This window comes from Homo sapiens, chromosome 11, assembly GCF_000001405.40.
Source record: "Homo sapiens chromosome 11, GRCh38.p14 Primary Assembly".
NCBI lineage: Eukaryota > Metazoa > Chordata > Mammalia > Primates > Hominidae > Homo > Homo sapiens.
Window position 1 is genome coordinate 74,518,979 of NC_000011.10, and position 21,510 is coordinate 74,540,488.

Sequence of the window (21,510 nt, forward strand, 5' to 3'; positions counted from 1 at the left end):
TGTTTTTAAATGTTTTTTTCTTTTTCTTTTCTTTTTGGGAAGACTTTATCTTTTTTTTTTTTTTTTTTTTTGAGACGGAGTCTCGCTCTGTTGCCAGGCTGGAGTGCAGTGGCAATAACCTCGGCTCACTGCAACCTCTGCCTCCTGGGTTCAGGCGATTCTCCTGCCTCAGCCACCCAAGTAGCTGGGACTACAGGCGCATGCCACCACGCCCAGCTGATTTTTGTGTTTTTAGTAGTGACAGGGTTTCACCATGTTGGCCAGTATGATCTCAGTCTCGACCTCATGATCCACCTGCCTCAGCCTCCCAAAGTGCTGGGATTACAGGCGTGAGCCACCATGCCAGGCTGACTTTATCTTTTAATAAATAATTTATTTAACTTGATGCGTAACTTTTAAATATTTAGACTTATCACATGTGGGCCCTACTGTATTTCCACCCTGGGCCCCAAGGATAATGCCTTGGTTTCTTGCAGGAGTAGGTAAATGACAGATGCTGGTGCCATTTACAGAGATGAGGAAAGCCCAGGAGGATTAGGCTTCGTCGGGGCAAGGCTGGTATTCAGCTGGTGCATTCCAGGAGTGCAATACTGATTAAAAAAAAAATACCTCTGCTGCTCTGAGCCTTCTTGCCACCAAGCTACCTGGCCCTCACCCTGGGATCCTCAGATCCTCCCACTCTCCAGCAACTAAATGGTTAATACCTGGCACATCACTGGCACAGTAATGGGTCTTCAGGATGCTGATCCAAATCCAGGGGAACTTGCTAGTGCCTGTAACCCTCAATATTTTAAATGTCACCTCTGATAGAATTGGGGAAGGAAGCATGTGAGTCAAAGGTTTATGGCTAGAAGTTGAAAGGGGAGGTCTGAGCTGGAGATGGAGCTTGTTGACTCTTGTTGCCTGCGGAATCAAGTCCAAACTCCCTTAGGTTGGCCCTGCAGTTCCCTTAGGTTATCATTCAGCTTCCACGTGACTCCCTCCAGCTCCCTGCCAGGATCCCTGATCACTCTGTGTTCCAGGACCCACTATTCCCTCTACCTGGAATGCCCTTTCATGTCTTCTCCACTGGCCACCCTCCTTTTTGTCCTTCAGGGCCATCTCGCATATCTCTGCCTCCTGAGGCCTCCCACCCTGTTTTCCATGGCTCCTCCAAACAGAGGACAGCACGCTGCCTTGTGCATCTCTGTTTAGATCCCTGCTTTCTGCACTAGGCTGTGAACTCCTCCCGGTCAGGGACAGGGGCTGGTGGCTCTCTGGGCCAAGCAAGGCCCTGGCATGGAGCAGTTCTAGTAAATCTTAAAGGACTAGATGGTGAGGCAGCATCCTGACTGGATTTACCACAGCCCCACCCTCACTCCATGACTTCTGTGCATGTGGAAGTCACAAATTTAGACAGACTAAACTTGGTCTTCTTGAAAGAATAGGCTCTTTAACAGCAAAGACCACTCTTTCCACATCACTTCTTGCTCTTTCACAGCCTGAGAAAAAGCACACAAATGCAAAGCAAGGGTGACCCTGGTCAGGCAGAATGGAATTTCAGCCTGGAGTCTTGTGAGCTGAGTGACCTCAGAGAAGTTGCTTCACTTTTCTGAGCCTCAGATTTCTCAGGTGAGAGAATGGAGATAACAGTACCTGCTTCACGAGGTGGATGTGAGGACTGAATGAAATAATGTGTATAAAAGTGTGTCAGGGAGAGGGGAGAGGGAGAATGAGGGTTATTGTTTAATAGGTACAGAGGTTCTGTTATATTTTATATGATAAAAATATTCTAGAGATGAATAGTAGTGACAGTTCGTAGCAATGTGGATATACTTAATCCCACTGAACTGTACACTTAAAAAGGTTACAATGATACATTTTATGTTGTGTATATTTTACCACAATAAAAATAAATTAATACGCTGAATGAAAGATCTTCCCTCATTGTCCCCTGCCCAAAAAGGGTTCAGCATGGTTCCAGGTACACAGCAGATGATCCATATGTCTGAGCTTCCTTCCTCCTCCCTTCTGGATTTCTCTCCACCTGGGTTCCAGGGCCATGGCCAAGAGGCAGGATGAGGGAGAGCAGGACGGGTGTCAGGAGCGGAAGTGATTAAATGTTGAACGAGGATATGGTGTTTGTGGGGTCAAAGCCAGGACTGCCCTCTGGAAAGCCCAGGCATGAGGAGGCGAGCTGCCTCCCCGCCTGAAAGGAAGAAGGATGTCCGGGGGTCAGGGATGACACTGGTGTTTTTGGCCATGAGAGAGAAGTAAGATATCTAAATTAAGGAGGAAAGGCAGGCGGGAGTTGCAGGATGTCTATGTTGGCCTACGTTGCAAAAATAAATGCATCTAGAAATAAATACATACGTAAATAAATAAGTACAGATTTTTTTAAAGACCTCAACTCCACCTTCTTGCTCTATTTCACCAAGGACAAGGGCAGTATAATAAGCTGAGAAGGGAAACAAGAGATTGTAGATTCCGGCTGCTATGGGGAAATTACAAATGAGGTCTGACGCTATCTTTGTTTCTTTTTCATTATGAAAAATACCTTGCCTGACATGGGCACCCTGCCACCATTGGGAAAACCGTGAGAATCCAGTTTGTTCCCAAAACACTGCCATGGGGAGCTGAGGTCACAAGGGAACATTGCTTTTCCCCAAGGCAACTGTGACCAAAAATAAATAAATAAATGAATAAATGATAAATAAACAATGTCCTGGAAGAAACACTGAAGTGGATATCAGGGCACCTGGCTTCTGGCCTGGTGTGTTCACATCCTAGCTGGGTGACCTGGGACACGTCACCTTCCCTCTCTGCACTTCAGCTGTTTCATCTGCAGAATGAGGGGAGCCACCAGATGACCTCTGAGGGTGCTTCCATCTCAGATAATATCTCTAATACTCATGATTCTAGGATATACTCTTTTCAAGCCCTTGAAAGAACAATGGGAGTTGGTGAGGAAAGAAAATGCTGAGCTGGATGGTGGAACTGACTGTCTCAGAGTTGGAAGAGAATCTGAGAGATCACCCAGCCCGCCCATCCATCCATCCATCCATCCATCCATCCATCCATCCATCCATCCATCCATCTGTTTATCCATCTACCCACTCAGTATTCCTACTTGAGCCTGGCTCTGTGTAGGGAAGTGAGGACCAAAAATGGATCAGACTCATTCCTTACCTTCCTGGAGCTCTCAATCTAGGGAACCTGGGGGTGAGGGAGGAAGGTAACTGAGTGATTATGTTACCAAGGGCTATGAACTGGGGTCTGAACATGCAGGGTATGGTAGGGGTGCAGCGTGGGTAAGACCTGCTCAGCTTGAGGAGGCCAGGAGAGGCTTCCAGATGAAGAATCTACTCAATAAGTAGAAGCTCTTCAGGTAGAGAAAAGGGGAAACAGCAGAACAGCACATGCACAAGTGCTGCTGTATGATGAAGTCATTCCAATCCCAGGGCACCAACGTCCTGCCTTACAGCAATTCAGGTAAACACATCCCAGGGTTTTGGAAATGATTAGATTAGAGTTTCTCAGACCTGGGACTATAAACCCCTCAAGGTTAATAAATAAATATATTGTGAGGAGCCTGAAATGTGTCTGTGAAAACTTCTAAATGTTATGTTTCATTTTGATGGTAATCCAAACAAAATCAGCATGTTCTGAATTGTCTGGAAGGCTACCACCTGCCATGGCATTTGGACACTGACTTTGTGTTTCTGATCACTTTGAAGCCAGATAGTGCTTTACGTTCATTGTTATAGCCCAACCAAGGAAAATAGAGGTGGGCTTAATGTAAATGATACTTCTATGCCAAGTAAAAGTCAAATGGGGACTTGGTGCACGGTCAAAATGAAGACTTTCCAGGAGTTTGACCAGAGAAGCACAGTGGGAGCTGCCTGCAGTCTACAGTGCTCTGGGTGTGCTGTACTAAAAAAGCCTGTGCCATAGCAGTCTGCCCCATACTCAGGCTTCAAATGGCAATTTAACTTCAGTAAAACATCTTCTGGCATACTAAGTTAGAATGTTTGTTTGAATTTTATAGGGTTAGTAATTGTGTTTATTTTCCATTTGTCTTGGTTTAGAGTTACAGAACAGCTACTAGCATAAGGAATTTATACTGAGTTTTGTGCTTGTAAGTATACAAGTGATATTAAAATAATTTAAGTCGGCTGGGTGTGATGGTTCACGTCTGTAATCCCAGCACTTTGGGAGGCCAAGCTGGGCGGATCACCTGAGGTCGGGAGTTCGAGACTAGCCTGACCAACATGGAGAAACCCCGTCTCTATTAAAAATACAAAAATTAGCTGGGTGTGGTGGCGCATGTCTGTAATCCCAGCTACTCGGAATGCTGAGGCAGGAGAATTGCTTGAACCCAGGAGGTGGAGGCTGCAGTCAGCCGAGATCGCGCCATTGCACTCTAGCCTGGGCAACAAGAGTGAAACTCCATCTCAAAAAAAGAAAAAAAAATTTAAGTCAACTTTGGGGTGAATCTGTAAGAATTTTGAACAGGGGCACCTCCATTACTTGAGTTTGAGAAACATGCTGTTAGTTGCTTGGTTAGCAATCCTCATTGTTTATAGAGTCTCTTCCTTTAGTTTAATGGGAGTCCTTCTTGCTGCCACCTTAGGTCAAAATTACCTCCAAAAAGAAGAACCATAACCTATTATCATATAGCTAAAAAAAAAAAAAAAAGTGCACAGGGCCTCTAGGAGGTAACTGCATCTTCCAGGGTTAGGCACAGCTGACGTGTACTTTACCACTTTCCACTGCCCCCCAACATACACCCTCTGCTGCAGCCATGTGGTTGATACCTTAGCAGGGTTCACTAAACAACTTGGGTAAAGTTCTTAATCTCTCCAAGCTCCAGTTTACTAATCTGTAAAACAGTCATGCTAATAATACTTTACTTCTCAGGGTTGTTGTGAATATCAAATGGGTAAATGCTGGGATACAACAATAATAATTCCAGGCCAGGTGAGGTGGTTCCTGCCTGTAATCCCAGCACTTTGGGAGGCCAGTGCAGGAGGCTCACTTGAGCACAGGAGTTCAAGACAAGCCTGGGCAACATAATGAGACCCTGTCTCTACAAAAAAAAAAAAAAAAAATTTTTTTTTAATTAGCTAAGCATTTTGTCACATGTTTGTTGTCCTAGCCACTCAGGAGGCCAAGGAGGAAGAATTGCTTGAACCCAGGAATTCGAGGCTTCAGTGAACTATGATCATCCTACTGCACTCAGCCTGGGTGACACAGCAAGACCATCTCTTAAAAAAAAAATTAGAATAGTCACCATTAACACTAGACACATTTCCTACTTTCTTTCATTTAATCCTCCCAGTAAGTCTACACAGAGATAGTTTATCCCAATTTTGTAGCTCAAGAAACAAGTTTAGAGAGGTGAAGGGAGTTTGTCAGATAACTGAACTGAGATTCAAACCTAACTCTCAAACACGCAAACTGCCTTTGCTGTGACCATTGCACACACGTTACTCATGCCCTGCCAGCTTCACCTGTGAAAATATTGCCTGCCTTTTAAGACCCTTACCGGAATTAAGCTCTCCTCCTGCGTGTTCATTCATACCTTTTGCTTGGCCTCGTGGATTGCAGGAATTTAATCTAGCTTTGCCTGATACAGGGTCAATTTACCCAGGACACACCCTTTTCAGGGGGTGAAGGATGAAGGCAAATTATCAGAGGTCTGGGAACAATCAAATGAGTCCCCACCCAGTGAAGTCACCCACATCCAGAGCCTCTTCCCTGAAAACCCCCACCACTCCTTTTCCTTAGCCAGATCCCCAGGGGCTCACTTGGGTGTTTATTAAATTGAATGAAATGAATGGAGCCAAGAGATCTGGCTTCCAACCCCTGTCCTGCAAATACGGTGTCTGATTTGAACAAGTCATTTTGCCTCACTGAGTCCTACGCTCTGGAAAATGCAGTAGGGGGATGTGTGGATTGGGTGCTTGGTGAAGTCCTACCAATCTTTAACATTCTATGTCTCGAAAGCTGTAGCAAAACATCAGCATGAGACTTGTGGCCAGATTAAGTTTCTTGGAACAGGGTACTTCCTGAGATTATTTTAGTATATGTTCATACATTGTAGCAAGAAGGGGGAAAATGGACATTGAAATCAAAATTTACCATAGTTATGTTTGTCTTCCAGGGAATGTCATATTCGTCAGTAAAGACAAGATTTTTTTTTTTCTAAAAAACACCACAGTCAGCTTTTTTGTATGTGGAAAGTGAGCCTGAGAATCCTCACTCTTCTTTCGGTGTAATTAAATTTTTTTATGATTCCATTTTATCTCCTTTGTTAGCTTATCAGCTAGAATGCATTGTTTTGTTTTGTTTTGTTTTGTTTTGTTTTTTAATGCCCTGGACTAGAAGTCTTTATTTTATTTTCTTTTTTTGTATCATTGAAAGTTTCAATTTGTTATAAAATCATAAAAATAATCCAGATCCATTAAACATCAGAATAATATGTCAACATGTAACATACATTAAGTATAAGTATAGGTTAATTAACTTTAGGCTGATTGGTACATACATCCAAAGCTTTGAGTTGTCTTCCTCAGAGTCATATGATTAAACACAGTGGCTCTAGAAGCCACTGAAGTCAAGACAAGGAGACCTAAATGGGCTGTGATCTGAAGCCCCACACCACTGCATTTCTTATTTCTATGTGTTTGCTTTTTTAAAGAACAACAACAAAAATTCCAAAGAGCATAATGCACTAACATTCAATAATGTCAATTTTACAGATGAAAAAATTGAAATTTAGAAAAGGCAAAGACTCACCTCCTTGCCTAGGTCATGACCAGCTAGTGGTACCTACATGTGTAGCCATGTATGTTTGCTTTCCCCTTTAACCTTTTTGCCTAGCCCAAATGAATTACCCTAGATTCACATTCATTTTATTATTGACAAGTAGTCACGTTCTGTAAGAGATCCTGATGGTTGTCCTCTATAACTTTTCCTTGAAATATAGTCATGTACTGCGTAATGTTTCTGTTACTGACAGACCACATATGTGATGATACTCCTAAAATATTATAAAACCTACCATATTTTAATTGTACCTTTTCTATGTGTAGATGTGCTTAGATAAATAAATTCTTACATTGTGGTAAAATTACCTGCAGTATTCAGTACAGTAACATGCTGTACAGGTTTGCACCCTAGGAACAATAGGCTATTCCATCTAGCATAAGGGTATAGTAGGCCATACCATGTAGGTTTGTGTAAGTGTACTTTATTATATTTGTGTGCCTAATTCTCTCTTTTATTTTATTTTATTTTATTATTATCATACTTTAAGTTTTAGGGTACATGTGCACAATGTGCAGGTTAGTTACATATGTATACATGTGCCATGCTGGTGTGCTGCACCCATTAACTCGTCATTTAGCATTAGGTATATCTCCTAAAGCTATCCCTCCCCCCTCCCCCCACCCCACAACAGTCCCCAGAGTGTGATGTTCCCCTTCCTGTGTCCATGTGTTCTCATTGTTCAATTCCCACCTATGAGTGAGAATATGCGGTGTTTGGTTTTTTGTTCTTGCGATAGTTTACTGAGAATGATGATTTCCAATTTCATCCATGTCCCTACAAAGGACATGAACTCATCATTTTTTATGCCTGCATAGTATTCCATGGTGTATATGTGCCACATTTTCTTAATCCAGTCTATCATTGTTGGACATTTGGCTTGGTTCCAACTCTTTGCTATTGTGAATAGTGCCACAATAAACATACGTGTGCATGTGTCTTTATAGCAGCATGATTTATAGTCCTTTGGGTATATACCCAGTAATGGGATGGCTGGGTCAAATGGTATTTCTACTTCTAGATCCCTGAGGTATCGCCACATTGACTTCCACAAGGGTTGAACTAGTTTGCAGTCCCACCAACAGTGTAAAAGTGTTCCTATTTCTCCACATCCTCTCTAGCACCGGTTGTTTCCTGACTTTTTAATGATTGCCATTCTAACTGGTGTGAGATGGTATCTCATTGTGGTTTTGATTTGCATTTCTCTGATGGCCAGTGATGGTGAGCATTTTTTCATGTGTTTTTTGGCTGCATAAATGTCTTCTTTTGAGAAGTGTCTGTTCATGTCCTTCACCCACTTTTTGATGGGGTTGTTTGTTTTTTTCTTGTAAATTTGTTTGAGTTCATTGTAGATTCTGGATATTAGCCCTTTGTCAGATGAGTAGGTTGCGAAAATTTTCTCCCATGTTGTAGGTTGCCTGTTCACTCTGATGGTAGTTTCTTTTGCTGTGCAGAAGCTCTTTAGTTTTATTAGATCCCATTTTTGAATTTTGACGTTTGTTGCCATTGCTTTTGGTGTTTTAGACATGGAATCCTTGCCCATGCCTATGTCCTGAATGGTATTGCTTAGGTTTTCTTCTAGGGTTGTTATGGTTTTAGGTCTAACATTTAAGTCTTTAATCCATCTTGAATTAATTTTTGTATAAGGTGTAAGGAAGGGATCCAGTTTCAGCTTTCTACATATGGCTAGCCAGTTTTCCCGGCACCATTTATTAAACAGGGAATCCTTTCCCCATTTCTTGTTTTTGTCAGGTTTGTCAAAGATCAGATAGTTGTAGATATGCGGCATTATTTCTGAGGGCTCTGTTCTGCTCCATTGATCTATATCTCTGTTTTGGTACCAGTACCATGCTGTTTTGGTTACTGTAGCCTTGTAGTACAGTTTGAAGTCAGGTAGCGTGATGCCTCCAGCTTTGTTCTTTTGGCTTAGGATTGACTTGGCGATGCGGGCTCTTTTTTGGTTCCATATGAACTTTAAAGTAGTTTTTTCCAATTCTGTGAAGAAAGTCATTGGTAGCTTGATGGGGATGGCATTGAATCTATAAATTACCTTGGGCAGTATGGCCATTTTCATGATATTGATTCTTCCTACCCATGAGCATGGAATGTTCTTCCATTTGTTTGTATCCTCTTTTATTTCATTGAGCAGTGGTTTGTAGTTCTCCTTGAAGAGGTCCTTCACATCCCTTGTAAGTTGGATTCCTAGGTATTTTATTCTCTTTGAAGCAATTGTGAATGGGAGTTCACTCATGATTTGGCTCTCTGTTTGTCTGTTATTGGTGTATAAGAATGCTTGTGATTTTTCCACATTGATTTTGTATCCTGAGACTTTGCTGAAGTTGCTTATCAGCTTAAGGAGATTTTGGGCTGAGACAATGGGGTTTTCTAGATATACAATCATGTCACCTGCAAAGAGGGACAATTTGACTTCCTCTTTTCCTAATTGAATACCCTTTATTTCCTTCTCCTGCCTGATTGCCCTGGCCAGAACTTCCAACACTATGTTGAATAGGAGTGGTGAGAGAGGGCATCCCTGTCTTGTGCCAGTTTTCAAAGGGAGTGCTTCCAGTTTTTGCCCATTCAGTATGATATTGGCTGTGGGTTTGTCATAGATAGATCTTATTATTTTGAGATATGTCCCATCAATACCTAATTTATTGAGAGTTTTTAGCATGAAGAGCTGTTGAATTTTGTCAAAGGCCTTTTCTGCATCTATTGAGATAATCATATGGTTTTTGTCATTGGTTCTTTTTATATGTTGGATTACATTTATTGATTTGCATATATTGAACCAGCCTTGCATCCCAGGGATGAAGCCCACTTGATCATGGTGGATAAGCTTTTTGATGTGCTGCTGGATTCGGTTTGCCAGTATTTTATTGAGGATTTTTGCATCAGTGTTCATCAAGGATATTGATCTAAAATTCTCTTTTTTTGTTGTGTCTCTGCCAGGCTTTGGTATCAGGATGATGCTGGCCTCATCAAATGAGTTAGGGAGGATTCCCTCTTTTTCTATTGATTGGAATAGCTTCAGAAGGAATGGTACCAGCTCCTTCCTTGTACCTCTGGTAGAATTCGGCTGTGAATCCATCTGGTCCTGGACTCTTTTTGGTTGGTAAGCTATTGATTATTGCCACAATTTCAGAGCCTGTTATTGGTCTATTCAGAGATTCAACTTCTTCCTGGTTTAGTCTTGGGAGGGTGTATGTGTTGAGGAATTTATCCATTCCTTCTAGATTTTCTAGTTTATTTGCATAGAGGTGTTTGTAGTATTCTCTGATGGTAGTTTGTATTTCTGTGGGATCGGTGGTGATATCCCCTTTATCATTTTTTATTGCGTCTATTTGATTCTTCTCTCTTTTCTTCTTTATTAGTCTTGCTAGTGGTCTATCAATTTTGTTGATCCTTTCAAAAAGCCAGCTCCTGGATTCATTAATTTTTTGAAGGGTTTTTTGTGTCTCTATTTCCTTCAGTTCTGCTCTGATTTTAGTTATTTCTTGCCTTCTGCTAGCTTTTGAATGTGTTTGCTCTTGCTTTTCTAATTCTTTTAATTGTGATGTTAGGGTGTCAATTTTGGATCTTTCCTGCTTTCTCTTGTGGGCATTTAGTGCTATAAATTTCCCTCTACACACTGCTTGTTTTGTTATTTTAGTGATTACTTTAGGGTTTAGAGTATACATGTTTAACTTTCACAGTCTAGGTGACATTATGCCATTTCACATACAATATAAGAATTGTAAAACAGGATACTTCCATTTCTCTTCTCCAGCCCTTTGTGTTTATGCTTTCACACATTTTATTTTTGTTAAATAGTTAATTTTCTGTTATGGAAAAGTAAATAATAAGAATTCTATTATATTTACCCAGATAGATAGCATTTCTGGTGATTTTTTTTTTTTGACAGGTTCTCACTCTGTTGTCCAGACTAAAGTACAGGCTGGAGTGCAGTGGGGCAATCACAGCTCACTGCAGCCTTGAACTCCTAGGCTCAAGCAATCCTCCCACCTCAGCCTCCAGAGTGTATAGGACTACAGGGATGTGCCACCATGCCCAGCTAGTTTTTTAAATTTTTTTGTAGAGACAGAGTCTTGCTATGTTGCTCAGGCTTGTTTCAAACTCCTGGGCTCAAGTAATCCTCCTGCCTCGGCCTCCAAAAGTGCTGAGATTACAGGTGTGGGCCACAGCACCTGGCCTCTGGTGTTCTTCGTTCCTCTGTATAGATTCATATTTCTGTCTGGTATCATTTTACTTCTTGCAGAAGAACTCCCTTTAGCATTTCTTACAAAGTTTGTCTCCTGATGATGAATACTTTAGTTTTTATATGTCTGAAAACAACTTTGTTTTGATTTCTTCAAATGATATTTCCATAGAAACATCATTTTGGGTATAGAATTCTAGGCTCACAAGTGTTTTTTTCGTTGTTGTTGTCCAATATCCTTAAGATGTTGCTGCACTGTCTTCTCACTTGCATTGTTTCCAACAAAAAAACAATCAGTTGTCATCATTTATTCCTTTGTATGTAATGCCTTTCTTCTCTGGCTGCCGTCAAGATGGTCATTTGCTGCATAACACACTGCATATACAATGGTGATTCCATAAGATTATAATGGAGCTGAAAAATTTCTGTCACCTTGTGAAAACTTTCTATCACTTTATCCTATCAATGATATGATGTCATGGCCATCATAATGTTGTAGCACAATTACTTTTAAAAAAATGAATTTAGAGTAACCTAAGTGTACAGCGTTTATAAAGCCTACAGTAGTATACAGTAATGTCCTAGGCCTTCCTATTTAATCACCACTCATTTACTGACTCACCTAGAGCAACTTTCATTTCTGCAAGCTCCATTCATGGTAAGTGACCTATACAGGTATACCATTTTTAAATCTTTTTTTTGAGACAGGATCTTGCTATGTTGCCCAGGTGGTCTTGAACTCTTGAGCTCAAACAATCCTCCTGCCTGAGCTTCCTGAGTAGCTGGGATTATAGGCATGCACCACTGTACCTGGCTCCATTTTTTAATCTTTTACATATTTTATGCGGTATTTTTACTATACCTTTTCTATGTTTAGATATATTTAGATACACAAATATTTACCTTTCTATTACAGTTGGCTACAGTATTCAGTACAGTAACATACTGTGCAGCTCTATAGCCTAGGAGCAATAGATATACTAAGGGAGGAGACCACCCCTCATATTGTCTTATGCCCAATTTCTGCCTCCAAAGAAAGAAAAAATAAAAACTAAAAGGCAGAAATGAAATCCACAAGCAGACAGCCCAGCGCCACACCCTGGGCCTGGTAGTTAAAGATCCACCCCTGATCTAATTGGTTATGTTATCTACAAATTCCAGACATTGTATAGAAAAGCACTGTGAAAATCCCTATCCTATTTTGTTCCGATCTAATTACTGGTACATGCAGCCCCCAGTCACGTACCCCCTGCTTGCTCAATCGATCGTGACCCTCTCACGCGCACCCCCTTGGAGTTGTGAGCCCTTAAAAGGGACAGGAATTGCTCACTTGGGGAGCTCGGCTCTTGAGACAGGAGTCTTGCCAATGCCCCTGGCCGAATAAACCCCTTCCTTCTTTAACTCGGTGTCTGAGGAGTTTTGTCTGCGGCTCGTCCTGCTTCAATACCACGTAGTAGAGGTGTATAGTAGGCTATACCATCTGGGTTTGTGTAAGTATGCTCTATATTTATGCAACAAGGAAATCACCTGATAACACATTTCTTAGACTGTATCCCCAGATTTAAGTAACGCATGATTGTATTTTCTCTTTATCACTGATTTTAATAATTTGGCTGTGATGTGACCGGTACAGTTTTCTTCATGTTCCTTGTACTTGGTGTTTGTTGAGATTTTTGTTCCATGGGTTTATAATTTTAATCACATTTGAAAAAATTTCAGCTATTATTTCTTCAAATATCTCTTCTGTTGCCCTCTTTGGGGGCCTCTTCTTTGGGGACTCCAATTACATGTATATTAGACTGATTGTAGTTGTCTTTTCTTTTTTTGTTTTTTTTTGAGACAGAGTCTTACCCTGTTGCCAAGGCTGGAGCACAGTGGCATGATTTCGGCTCACTGCAACCTCTGCCTCCTGGGTTCAAGTGATTCTCCTGTCTCAGCCTCCAGACGTAGCTAGGATTACAGGCCTGTGCCACCATGCCCGGCTAATTTTTGTAATTTTGGTAGAGACGGGGTTGTGACATGTTGGCCAGGCTGGTCTTGAACTCCTGGCCTCAAGCAATCTACCCATCCCGGCCTCCCAAAGTGCTGGGATTACAGACATGAGCCACTGCACCCAGCCCATTAATAATATTCTTAATTCATTTTTATTTCTGTATTTCTTTTTTGTATGGCTTATATTGCTAAAATTTTAAATTAATGAATCTTTTCTTCTGCTGGGCTTAATCTGCTATTAATCCCACCAATGTGCCGGCATAGACATTGAGGTTTTCATTTGTAAAAGTTTGATTTGTATCTCTTTTATGTTTTCCATGTTTCTATTTAACTTTTGAACATACGGAATAAAGTTATAATAACTATTTTCAGATCCTTCTCTGATAATTCTAACATCTGTGTCAATTCTGGGTCAATTTCAATTGGCAGATTATTCTCACTTTGAGTCATGGTTTCCTGCCTCTTTGCATGTCTCCTAACCTTTAATTAGATGTCAGACACTGTGATTTCTGCCTTCTTGAGTGCTGGATATTTTTTAATTTCTATAAATAATCTTCAGCTTTGTTTTGGGATACAGTTTGATCCTCTTGGGTCTTGCCTTTATGATTTTTAAGGTGGGTCTAGAGTTGTGCTCATTCTAGGGATAATTATGTGCACTACTGAGCCAATACCTTCCTGATTCTCCATCCAGTGAATCATGCCCTGTGAAACATGTTTTTCCAGTCTGGCTGGTGGGAAGAGACACTATTCCTGGATAGCGCTGAGCATCGTCACCTCTAGTCCTTCAGGATGGTTCTTTCCCTGGCCTTGGTAGTTTCCTCACACATGCACACTGATCATTAATCAACTGAAAGACTCAAGTAAGACCTTCTGAAGATCTCTGGAGTTCTGTTTGGGTGAAGTTCTCTCTCCTCTCTGTATGGTGCCCTGTGAATTATTGTTGCATGTTACTACTGATGAATAAGGAAGAGTATTTATTAACATGTATTGAGCAGTTACAATTTCTGAATGAGGAAACTAAGCTAAGAGAAGTTAATTAATTTGTCAAAGGTCATTACGAGAGAGGCGGTCTGTCTCTAAACACCCACATCTTTAATCATTAAACTGTACTGCCTTATCATGTATTTAATGTGGCATTATTTCCTTATCTTTAGGAAAAGCTGATATTAAATCTATGGTCTGGTTTATAATCAACGGCAGGTTAGAATAGAGAAAATTTAATGATTTAAAAAACTGAGCACAGAGAATAAGAGAATATGAGATCAAATGTGTCACTTAACGATAAGTGTCACTAACATTTATCAAGCACTTATTCAGACCAGGTGTTTTTTTGAATGCTCTGCATTGCACCACATATTTGTATTAGCCTGTTCTTGCTGTAAAGGAATACCTGAGACTGGGTAATTTATAAAGAAAATTGGTTTATGTAGGGTCTTGGCTCTGCAGGCAGTACAGAAAGACGGTGTTAGCATCTGCTCCTTGTAAGGGCCTCAGGAAGCCTTCAATCATGGCAGAGGGTGAAGGAGGAGTAGGCATATCACATGGCGAGAGCAGGAGCAACAGAAAGGGGATGTCCTAGACTCTTTTAAACAACCAGATCTCGCATGAACTAACTGAGGGAGAACACACTTATCACCAAGGGGATGGTGCTAAACCATTCATGAAGGATCGGTCCCCGTGATCCAATCACCTCCCACTAGGCCCCACCTCCAACATTGGGAGTCACATTTCAACATGCAATTTGGAAGAGACAGACATCGAAACCACATCACTACTGTAATCCCAGAACTTTGGGAGGCCGAGGCAGGCGGATCACCTGAGGTCAGGGCGGATCACCTGAGGTCAGGAGTTCGAGACCAGCCTGGCCAACATGGAGAAACCCCGTCTCTACTAATAATACAAAAATTTGCCAGGCACAGTGGCTCACGCCTGTAATCCCAGCACTTTCGGAGGCCAAAGTGGGTGGATCACAAGGTCAAGAGATCGAGACCATCCTGGCCTACATGATGAAACCCCGTCTCTACTAAAAAATACAAAAATTAGCCGGGCTTGGTGGCGTGCGCCTGTAATCCCAGCTACTCGGGAGGCTGAGGCAGGAGAATTGCTTGAACCCCGGAGGCAGAGGTTGCAGTGAGCAGAGATCACGCCACTGCTTTCCAGCCTGGCGACAAAGCGAGACTTTGTCTCAAAAGAAAAAAAAAAATTAGCTGGGCATGGTGGCACATGCCTGTAATCCCAGCTACTTGAGAGGCTGAGGCAGGAGAATCACTTGAACCCAGAAGGTGGAGGTTGCAGTGAGCCAAGATCACACCACTGCACTCCAGCCTGAGCAACAAGAGTGAAAGTCTGTCTCAAAAAAAAAAAAAAAATGCAGCTGTGATAAGTGCTGTGACACAAGAAACAGCAGGAGATGGTAGGAATGCAGAGGGAGGCACCTAATCCAATTGGAATAGTCAAGACGTGGCAAAATGCTCCAAAGGAAGAGATTCCTGAACTGAATGTTAAAAGACATGGGAAGTTAGGCACTGGGAGAAGGCTAGAGGCAAAAGAGATCATGGAGCTCAAAGTGCAAAGTAGCGAGAAAGTCTGGAGTGGTATAAACTAAGAAAAGAAAAATAATGTGATCACACACATGTGCTGCAGTGTTGAAATACTTTATGGTGCAGCCAGCAATGAATTGGCTGTCATAGCCAATTGTGTTTATGTCAATAGTTTGAAATCAGCCATGGTAGGAGTATTTACACCATGGAAATCAGCAAAGCTACAAATGAGGGACTTTTTCCCTCAGAGATTTACCAGGGTAGCAGGACGAGCTGCAGACAAAACTCCTGACACCGAGTTAAAGAAGGAAGTGGTTTATTCGGCCAGGAACATTGGGAAAGACTCCTGTCTCAAGAGCCGAGCTCCCCAAGTGAGCAATTCCTGTCCCTTTTAAGGGCTCACAACTCTAAGGGGATCCGCGTGAGAGGGTCGTGATCGATTGAGCGAGCAGGGGGTACATGACAGGGGCTGCATGCACCAGTGGTCAGAGTGAAACAGAACAGACCAGGAAGTTTCACAATGTCTTTTCTATACAATATCTGGAATCTATAGATAACATAACCGGTTAGGTCAGGTGTCGATCTTTAACTACCAGGCTTAGGTCAGGCAGGCCCAGGCCTGGTTTCGGGTCTGGTTCCTAGGCGCCGGGCTACCTGCCTTTTGTTTCGCTTTTCTTTTCTTTTCTGAGTATAAAACAATATAAAACAATATGAGAGGGTCTGTGCCTCTTCTTTCACCAGCACCGCTGGTCCCAGGCTATAAACACCTGAAGATGACTTTTTTTTGTTTTGTTTTGTTTTGAGCCCGAGTCTTGCTCTGTTGCCCAGGCTGGAGTGCAGTGGGGTGATCTTGGCTCACTGCAACCTCCACCTCCCGGGTTCAGGCAATTCTCCTGCCTCAGCCTCATGAGTAGCTGGGACTACAGGCGCACGCCTCCACGGCCGGCTAATTTTTTGTATTTTATTTTTTAGTAGAGACGGGGTTTCACTGTGTTGCCCAGGCTGGTGTGTAGCTTCTGAGCTCAGGCGATCTGCCTGCCTCTGCCTCCCAAAATGCTGGTATTACGGGTATGAGCCACGGCACCCAGCCCAAGATGACGTTTATATCTTCTCCTGATGTTGTCTCACAGAGGCTAAAATATCTTTATTTTAAAATTTCTCTTGCAGATTGTTTCTGGCCTTGAATTATTTTTCCTTGAAATTTCATTCACTCCACAAACCTATCTACATGGTGCCATGTTTGTGGTGGGTGCTGCAGATATGACCCCACCAGGAAGTCATGGCACCTCCTGTCATATACTCCCAGGAACCCGGGGCCAGCTTTCTTGTTCTCCATCTGAACTTTGTAGGGCATTTCACCAGGAACTTTAAAGTAGCCAGATGGCTATCAGGAAAGAAACGTTCCTTAGCCTGTGGCATTGTGTTTTTTTTTTAAATTGAATAATGCATTAACATTGATGGAGTCACAGCTGGCTCCAGGGTGCCTCCCGTCCGGCTCCCACAGGAGGTTACAATAGGAGTTGGCAAACTTTCCAAAGTACTCCATCAAGTCCATGTGTAACTATTCTCCCATTCAAATTTTCTTCTCCCTGCAGTGGTAGGTTCAGACCATCTTCAAACATCAACAATTGTTTTCAAGTAGCCACTAAGCTAAGCTAAGCTGACTAAGAAGACATACTTGTCCGTGAGGGAAGCCAGGACCCATTCATAAATAAAAATAAAAACAAAAATAAATAAGAATAGTACTTAGAAAATCATAAAAGTGGGAGGAACTATTTAATGCCTCCATTCTGTGTGTTGTATTTTCACTTTCTTGATGGTGTCCTTTGAGGCACGTAAGTTTTTAATTTTGATAATGTCCAGTTTATTTTTTCTTTTGTTTTAACTTTTTGTGTCATATCTATGAAATACATATATATATAGCTTTATACAATTGCTTTTTCAATCATTTAATGAGGGAGAAGAAATATACTATCTTTTATAATTACATAATTACCTTTATTGGTACTCTTTGCTTTTTCATTTGAATTTTAATTACCATATAGGGTCAGTTGCTTTCAGTTTGAAGAACTTTCTTTAGCATGTCTTATAAGGCAGGTCTACTAGCAAAAGATTATCTCATCTTTTGTTCATCTAGGAATGTCTTTATTCCACCTTCATTTCTGAAAGACAGTTTTGCTGGATATAACTTCCTGGTTGACATATTTTTTTAATTTTAGCACTTTGAATATATCATCCACTGTTTTCTAACTTTTTTTTTTTTTTTTTTTTTTTTTGAGACAGGGTCTCACTCTGTGACCCAGACTGGAGTGCAGTGGTATGATCACAGCTCACTGCAGCCTCAACATCCCAAGCTCAAGCAATCCTCTCACCTCAGGCTCTGGAATAGCTGGGACCACAGGTTGCACCATCACACCTGGCTAATTTTTTAAAATTTTCATAAAGACAAGGTCTCACTACGTTTCCCAGGGTGATCTTGAACTCCTGGGCTCAAGTGACCCTCCTGCCAAAGCCTCCCAAAATGCTGGGATTACAGGTGTGAGCCACCATGCCTGGCCTGTTATTTCTTGTAAGGAGTCATCTGCTCATCTTACTGAGGTTCTCTTATATGTGATAAGTCATTTGTTCTTGCTGCTCTCAAAATTAATCTGTGTCTTTCAGCATTTTTGCTATGATATATAAGTGTGCACCTCTTTGTTTTTATCCTACCTGGAATTCACTGAGCTATGTGAATATGAAAATCAATATTTTTCATTTAATTTGGGAAGTTTTCAGCTATTATTTCTTCAAACCTTTTTTCTGTTCCTCTCTTCTCTGTTTTTGTTTTTTTTTGTTGTTGTTGCTTGTTTGTTTGTTTGTTTGTTTTGAGTTGGAGTCTTGCTCTGTTACCCAGGCAGGAGTGCAGTGGCACGATCTCAGCTCACTGCAACCTCTGCCTCCTGGGTTCAAGCAATTCTCCTGCCTCAGCCTCCTGAGTAGCTGGGACTACAGGCATGCGCCACCATGCCTGGCTAATTTTTGCATTTTTAGTAGAGACAGGGTTTCACCATGTTGGCCAGGCTGGCCTTGAACTCCTGATCTCAAGTGATCCGCCCACCTCAGCCTCCCAAAGTGCTGGGATTACAGGTGTGAGCCACCGCACCTGGCCATCTTCTGCTTTTGAAACTACCATCACTTAATGCACTTAATGACAACCCACATTCTCTGAGGCTGTTCATTTTTTTTAATTCTTCTTTCTCTCTGTTCTTCAGATTGCATAATCTCTATTGATCTATCTTCAAGTTTGCTGATTCTCTCTTCTGCCAGTTTAGACCTACTGTTGAGCTACTCTAGTGAATTTTTCATTTTAGTTATTATATTTTTCACTTCCAGAACTTCCATTTTGTTATTTTTTTCTATCTCCTTATTGACATTTTTCATTGGATGCAACATTATCATTGTCACGCGCATCCGTGTGAAGAGACCACCAAACAGGATTTGTGTGAGTAACAGGGCTGTTTATTTCACCTGGGTGCAGGTGGCTTGAGTCCAAAAACAGTCAGCGAAGGGAGATAGGGGTGGGGCCGTTTTATAGGATTTGGGTGGGTAGTGGAAAATTACAGTCAAAGGGGGTTGCTCTCTTGTGGGCAAGGGTGGGGGTCACAAGGTGCTCAGTGGGGGAGCTTCTGAGCCAGGAGAAGGAATTTCACAAGGTTAATCGCTCAGTTAAGGTGGGGCAGAAACAAATCACAATGGTGGAATGTCATCAGTTTAGGCAGGAACTAGCCATTTTCACTTCTTTTGTGATTCTTCACTTGCTTCAGGCCATCTGGATGTATACATGCAGGTCACAGGGGATATGATGGCTTAGCTTGGGCTCAGAGGCCTGACAATCATCATATCTTTCTTTACTACTTTAAGCATGTTTATTTTTCTTTGAGATCTTTGAACACTGAATGCATGAACATAATGGTTGCTTTGAAGTCTTTATTAAATCTGACATCAGAGCCCTCTCACAGGCAGCTCCTGTTGCCTAAATTTTCCCTGTGGGCTGATCACACTTTTCTGTTTCTCTGCATGTCTCATAATTTTTTGGTGAAAACTAGATGCTTTCAGTTACATACTGCTGTAGGCACTGATACCCTTCTCCCTCTGTGGGGCTTGTTTTTGTTGTTTGCTTAGTGATTTGGCTGGAATATTTTAGTGAAGTCTAATTCCCCCACAGTGTGAAGCCTCTAGTGCCACTCCTCAAAGAATACAGACTTAGGTCTGTGCCCAGTTACCCTTGAATAACAGGGGTTTTAGCAAGACTCTGTCTCTTTCCCTGACCTGTTAAACTGTCTGCCTCATTTGGTATCACACCCAGCTTTTAGGCTCTACCAGTTGCTGGCTGATTGCTCACTTATGCCCTGAAGCATAAATGGTGCTACAGTCTGATTTAATGAAATCCAGATCTCTGCAGGAGTAGATTTTGAAGCTAGTCTTTGAGGTTTGTTCAAACCCCAGGAAGTCTCTTTTTGCTGTTTCCCTGTTTCTCTCAAATAAAATAGCAGGCCTATGGCTTAGCTTGTTGCTATCAAGAATTACCAGCCTCCTCTTAATTGCTTCCCCCCCAAATTTTTGTTGTTGTCAAGAGCACGCTAGACTTGAACTTCTCACACTTTGTTTCAAGTAAAGCCAGTCCCTTTGGAAAGAGCTTCAGAGATTTCTGTTCTTATAGACTGCCTCTTCTCCTGGGCAAAATCTCTAAGCCATGGCTTCAGACTCTTGGTGGAGGTGATAGCCTCTCATCTTCTAGGCTTGCTGCTTCCTGAATGGAACCTCCTCTCTATCAGCAAGGTGGAGTGAGAGTGATCAGGGTCCCAGTATTCTCAGTCTGCTGCATCTGTGGAGGGGCATCTTTTTATGAATGAGAACTGAGTGGAAGAAGAAAGCCCCTGACCTCTTAGCTGCACTTGCCAGGAATTTAGCTTCTGCAACTCAGAGCTGGAAATGATGAAAAATGCTGGTGACCTGTTCCTCATGGTAATATACTGTATTCCTTTACTTGGAGCAGAGGGAAGTGGAAGCCCCATCTTCCTGGCCACACCTTCTGGATGGAGCTTCTGTCACTCTGAGTTGAAGGCAGGGCAAGGAGCAATGAGAAATGGAGGGGGTCATGGCTCAAGTGCCACAAATTCTTATTATTATTACTGAGATTTAGTAGATTTTCTTGAATAAGCATTTCTTCGTTTGTTGTGTGTCTTGGGACAATTCACAGAGACTTTATTTTCTTTTCCTTTTCTTTTTCATTGTTTTAAATTTAAAATTATAGTGAAAATAGAGACAGAGTCTCACTATGTTGCCCAGGCTGGTCTCAAACTCCTGGGCTCAAGTGATCCTCCCACCTCAGCTTCCCAAAGTTCTGGGATTACAGGCATGAGCCACCATGCCTGGCCAATTTGCGGAGACTTTAAATGATTGCTTAATAATTTTTACCAGTTAAGGTTGTTTCATTGGGGAATGGGTCTGTGGGGGCTCCTTACTCCACTATTCCAGAAGCAGGACCTCTTTCATTTAACATGTAAAATGTACTTTCCACCCTTTTCTACTCTCTTCTTTTTCCTAGGAAGCTAAAATGTATGGGCTACATCAATAAGGCTCCATGCCTTCAGGCTTCCAGTTGCCAATAAATGCCCCAGTAGGAGACCGGAGGGAGGAAGGAGGATGAGATCAGAGTGTTTATTCCCTTGGCTCCCTTCAGTTGTGCAGCCTTCTTTGCATGACTGTCTCCTTCTCATTTCCAGTTGCTATTCCCTTCCCTGTCTCTTCTGGCTAGAAGTAGTTACTTCACTATCCCTTGCGACTCCCCTACACATTGCTTATACCTTTATGTAAGGGGAATGGCTGCGCTTTAGTCAGGAATAGGCCAAGGCAGCCTTTTGGCACAGCATGACTCAAACAGGTTTGGAGCGCAGGCACACAACTCTGCACGTTATGTAGCCACACCAC

At 42.0% G+C, this 21,510-nt stretch overlaps 1 annotated feature.

The window, feature by feature from the left end:
- Positions 19,626-20,175: an enhancer, noted in NCBI's record as "H3K27ac hESC enhancer chr11:74249649-74250198 (GRCh37/hg19 assembly coordinates)". NCBI's record gives its function as "activates a minimal SCP1, AML or CMV promoter by ChIP-STARR-seq in primed H9 embryonic stem cells {active_cell/tissue: H9 hESC(primed)}" and the evidence as "EXISTENCE:reporter gene assay evidence [ECO:0000049][PMID:30033119]".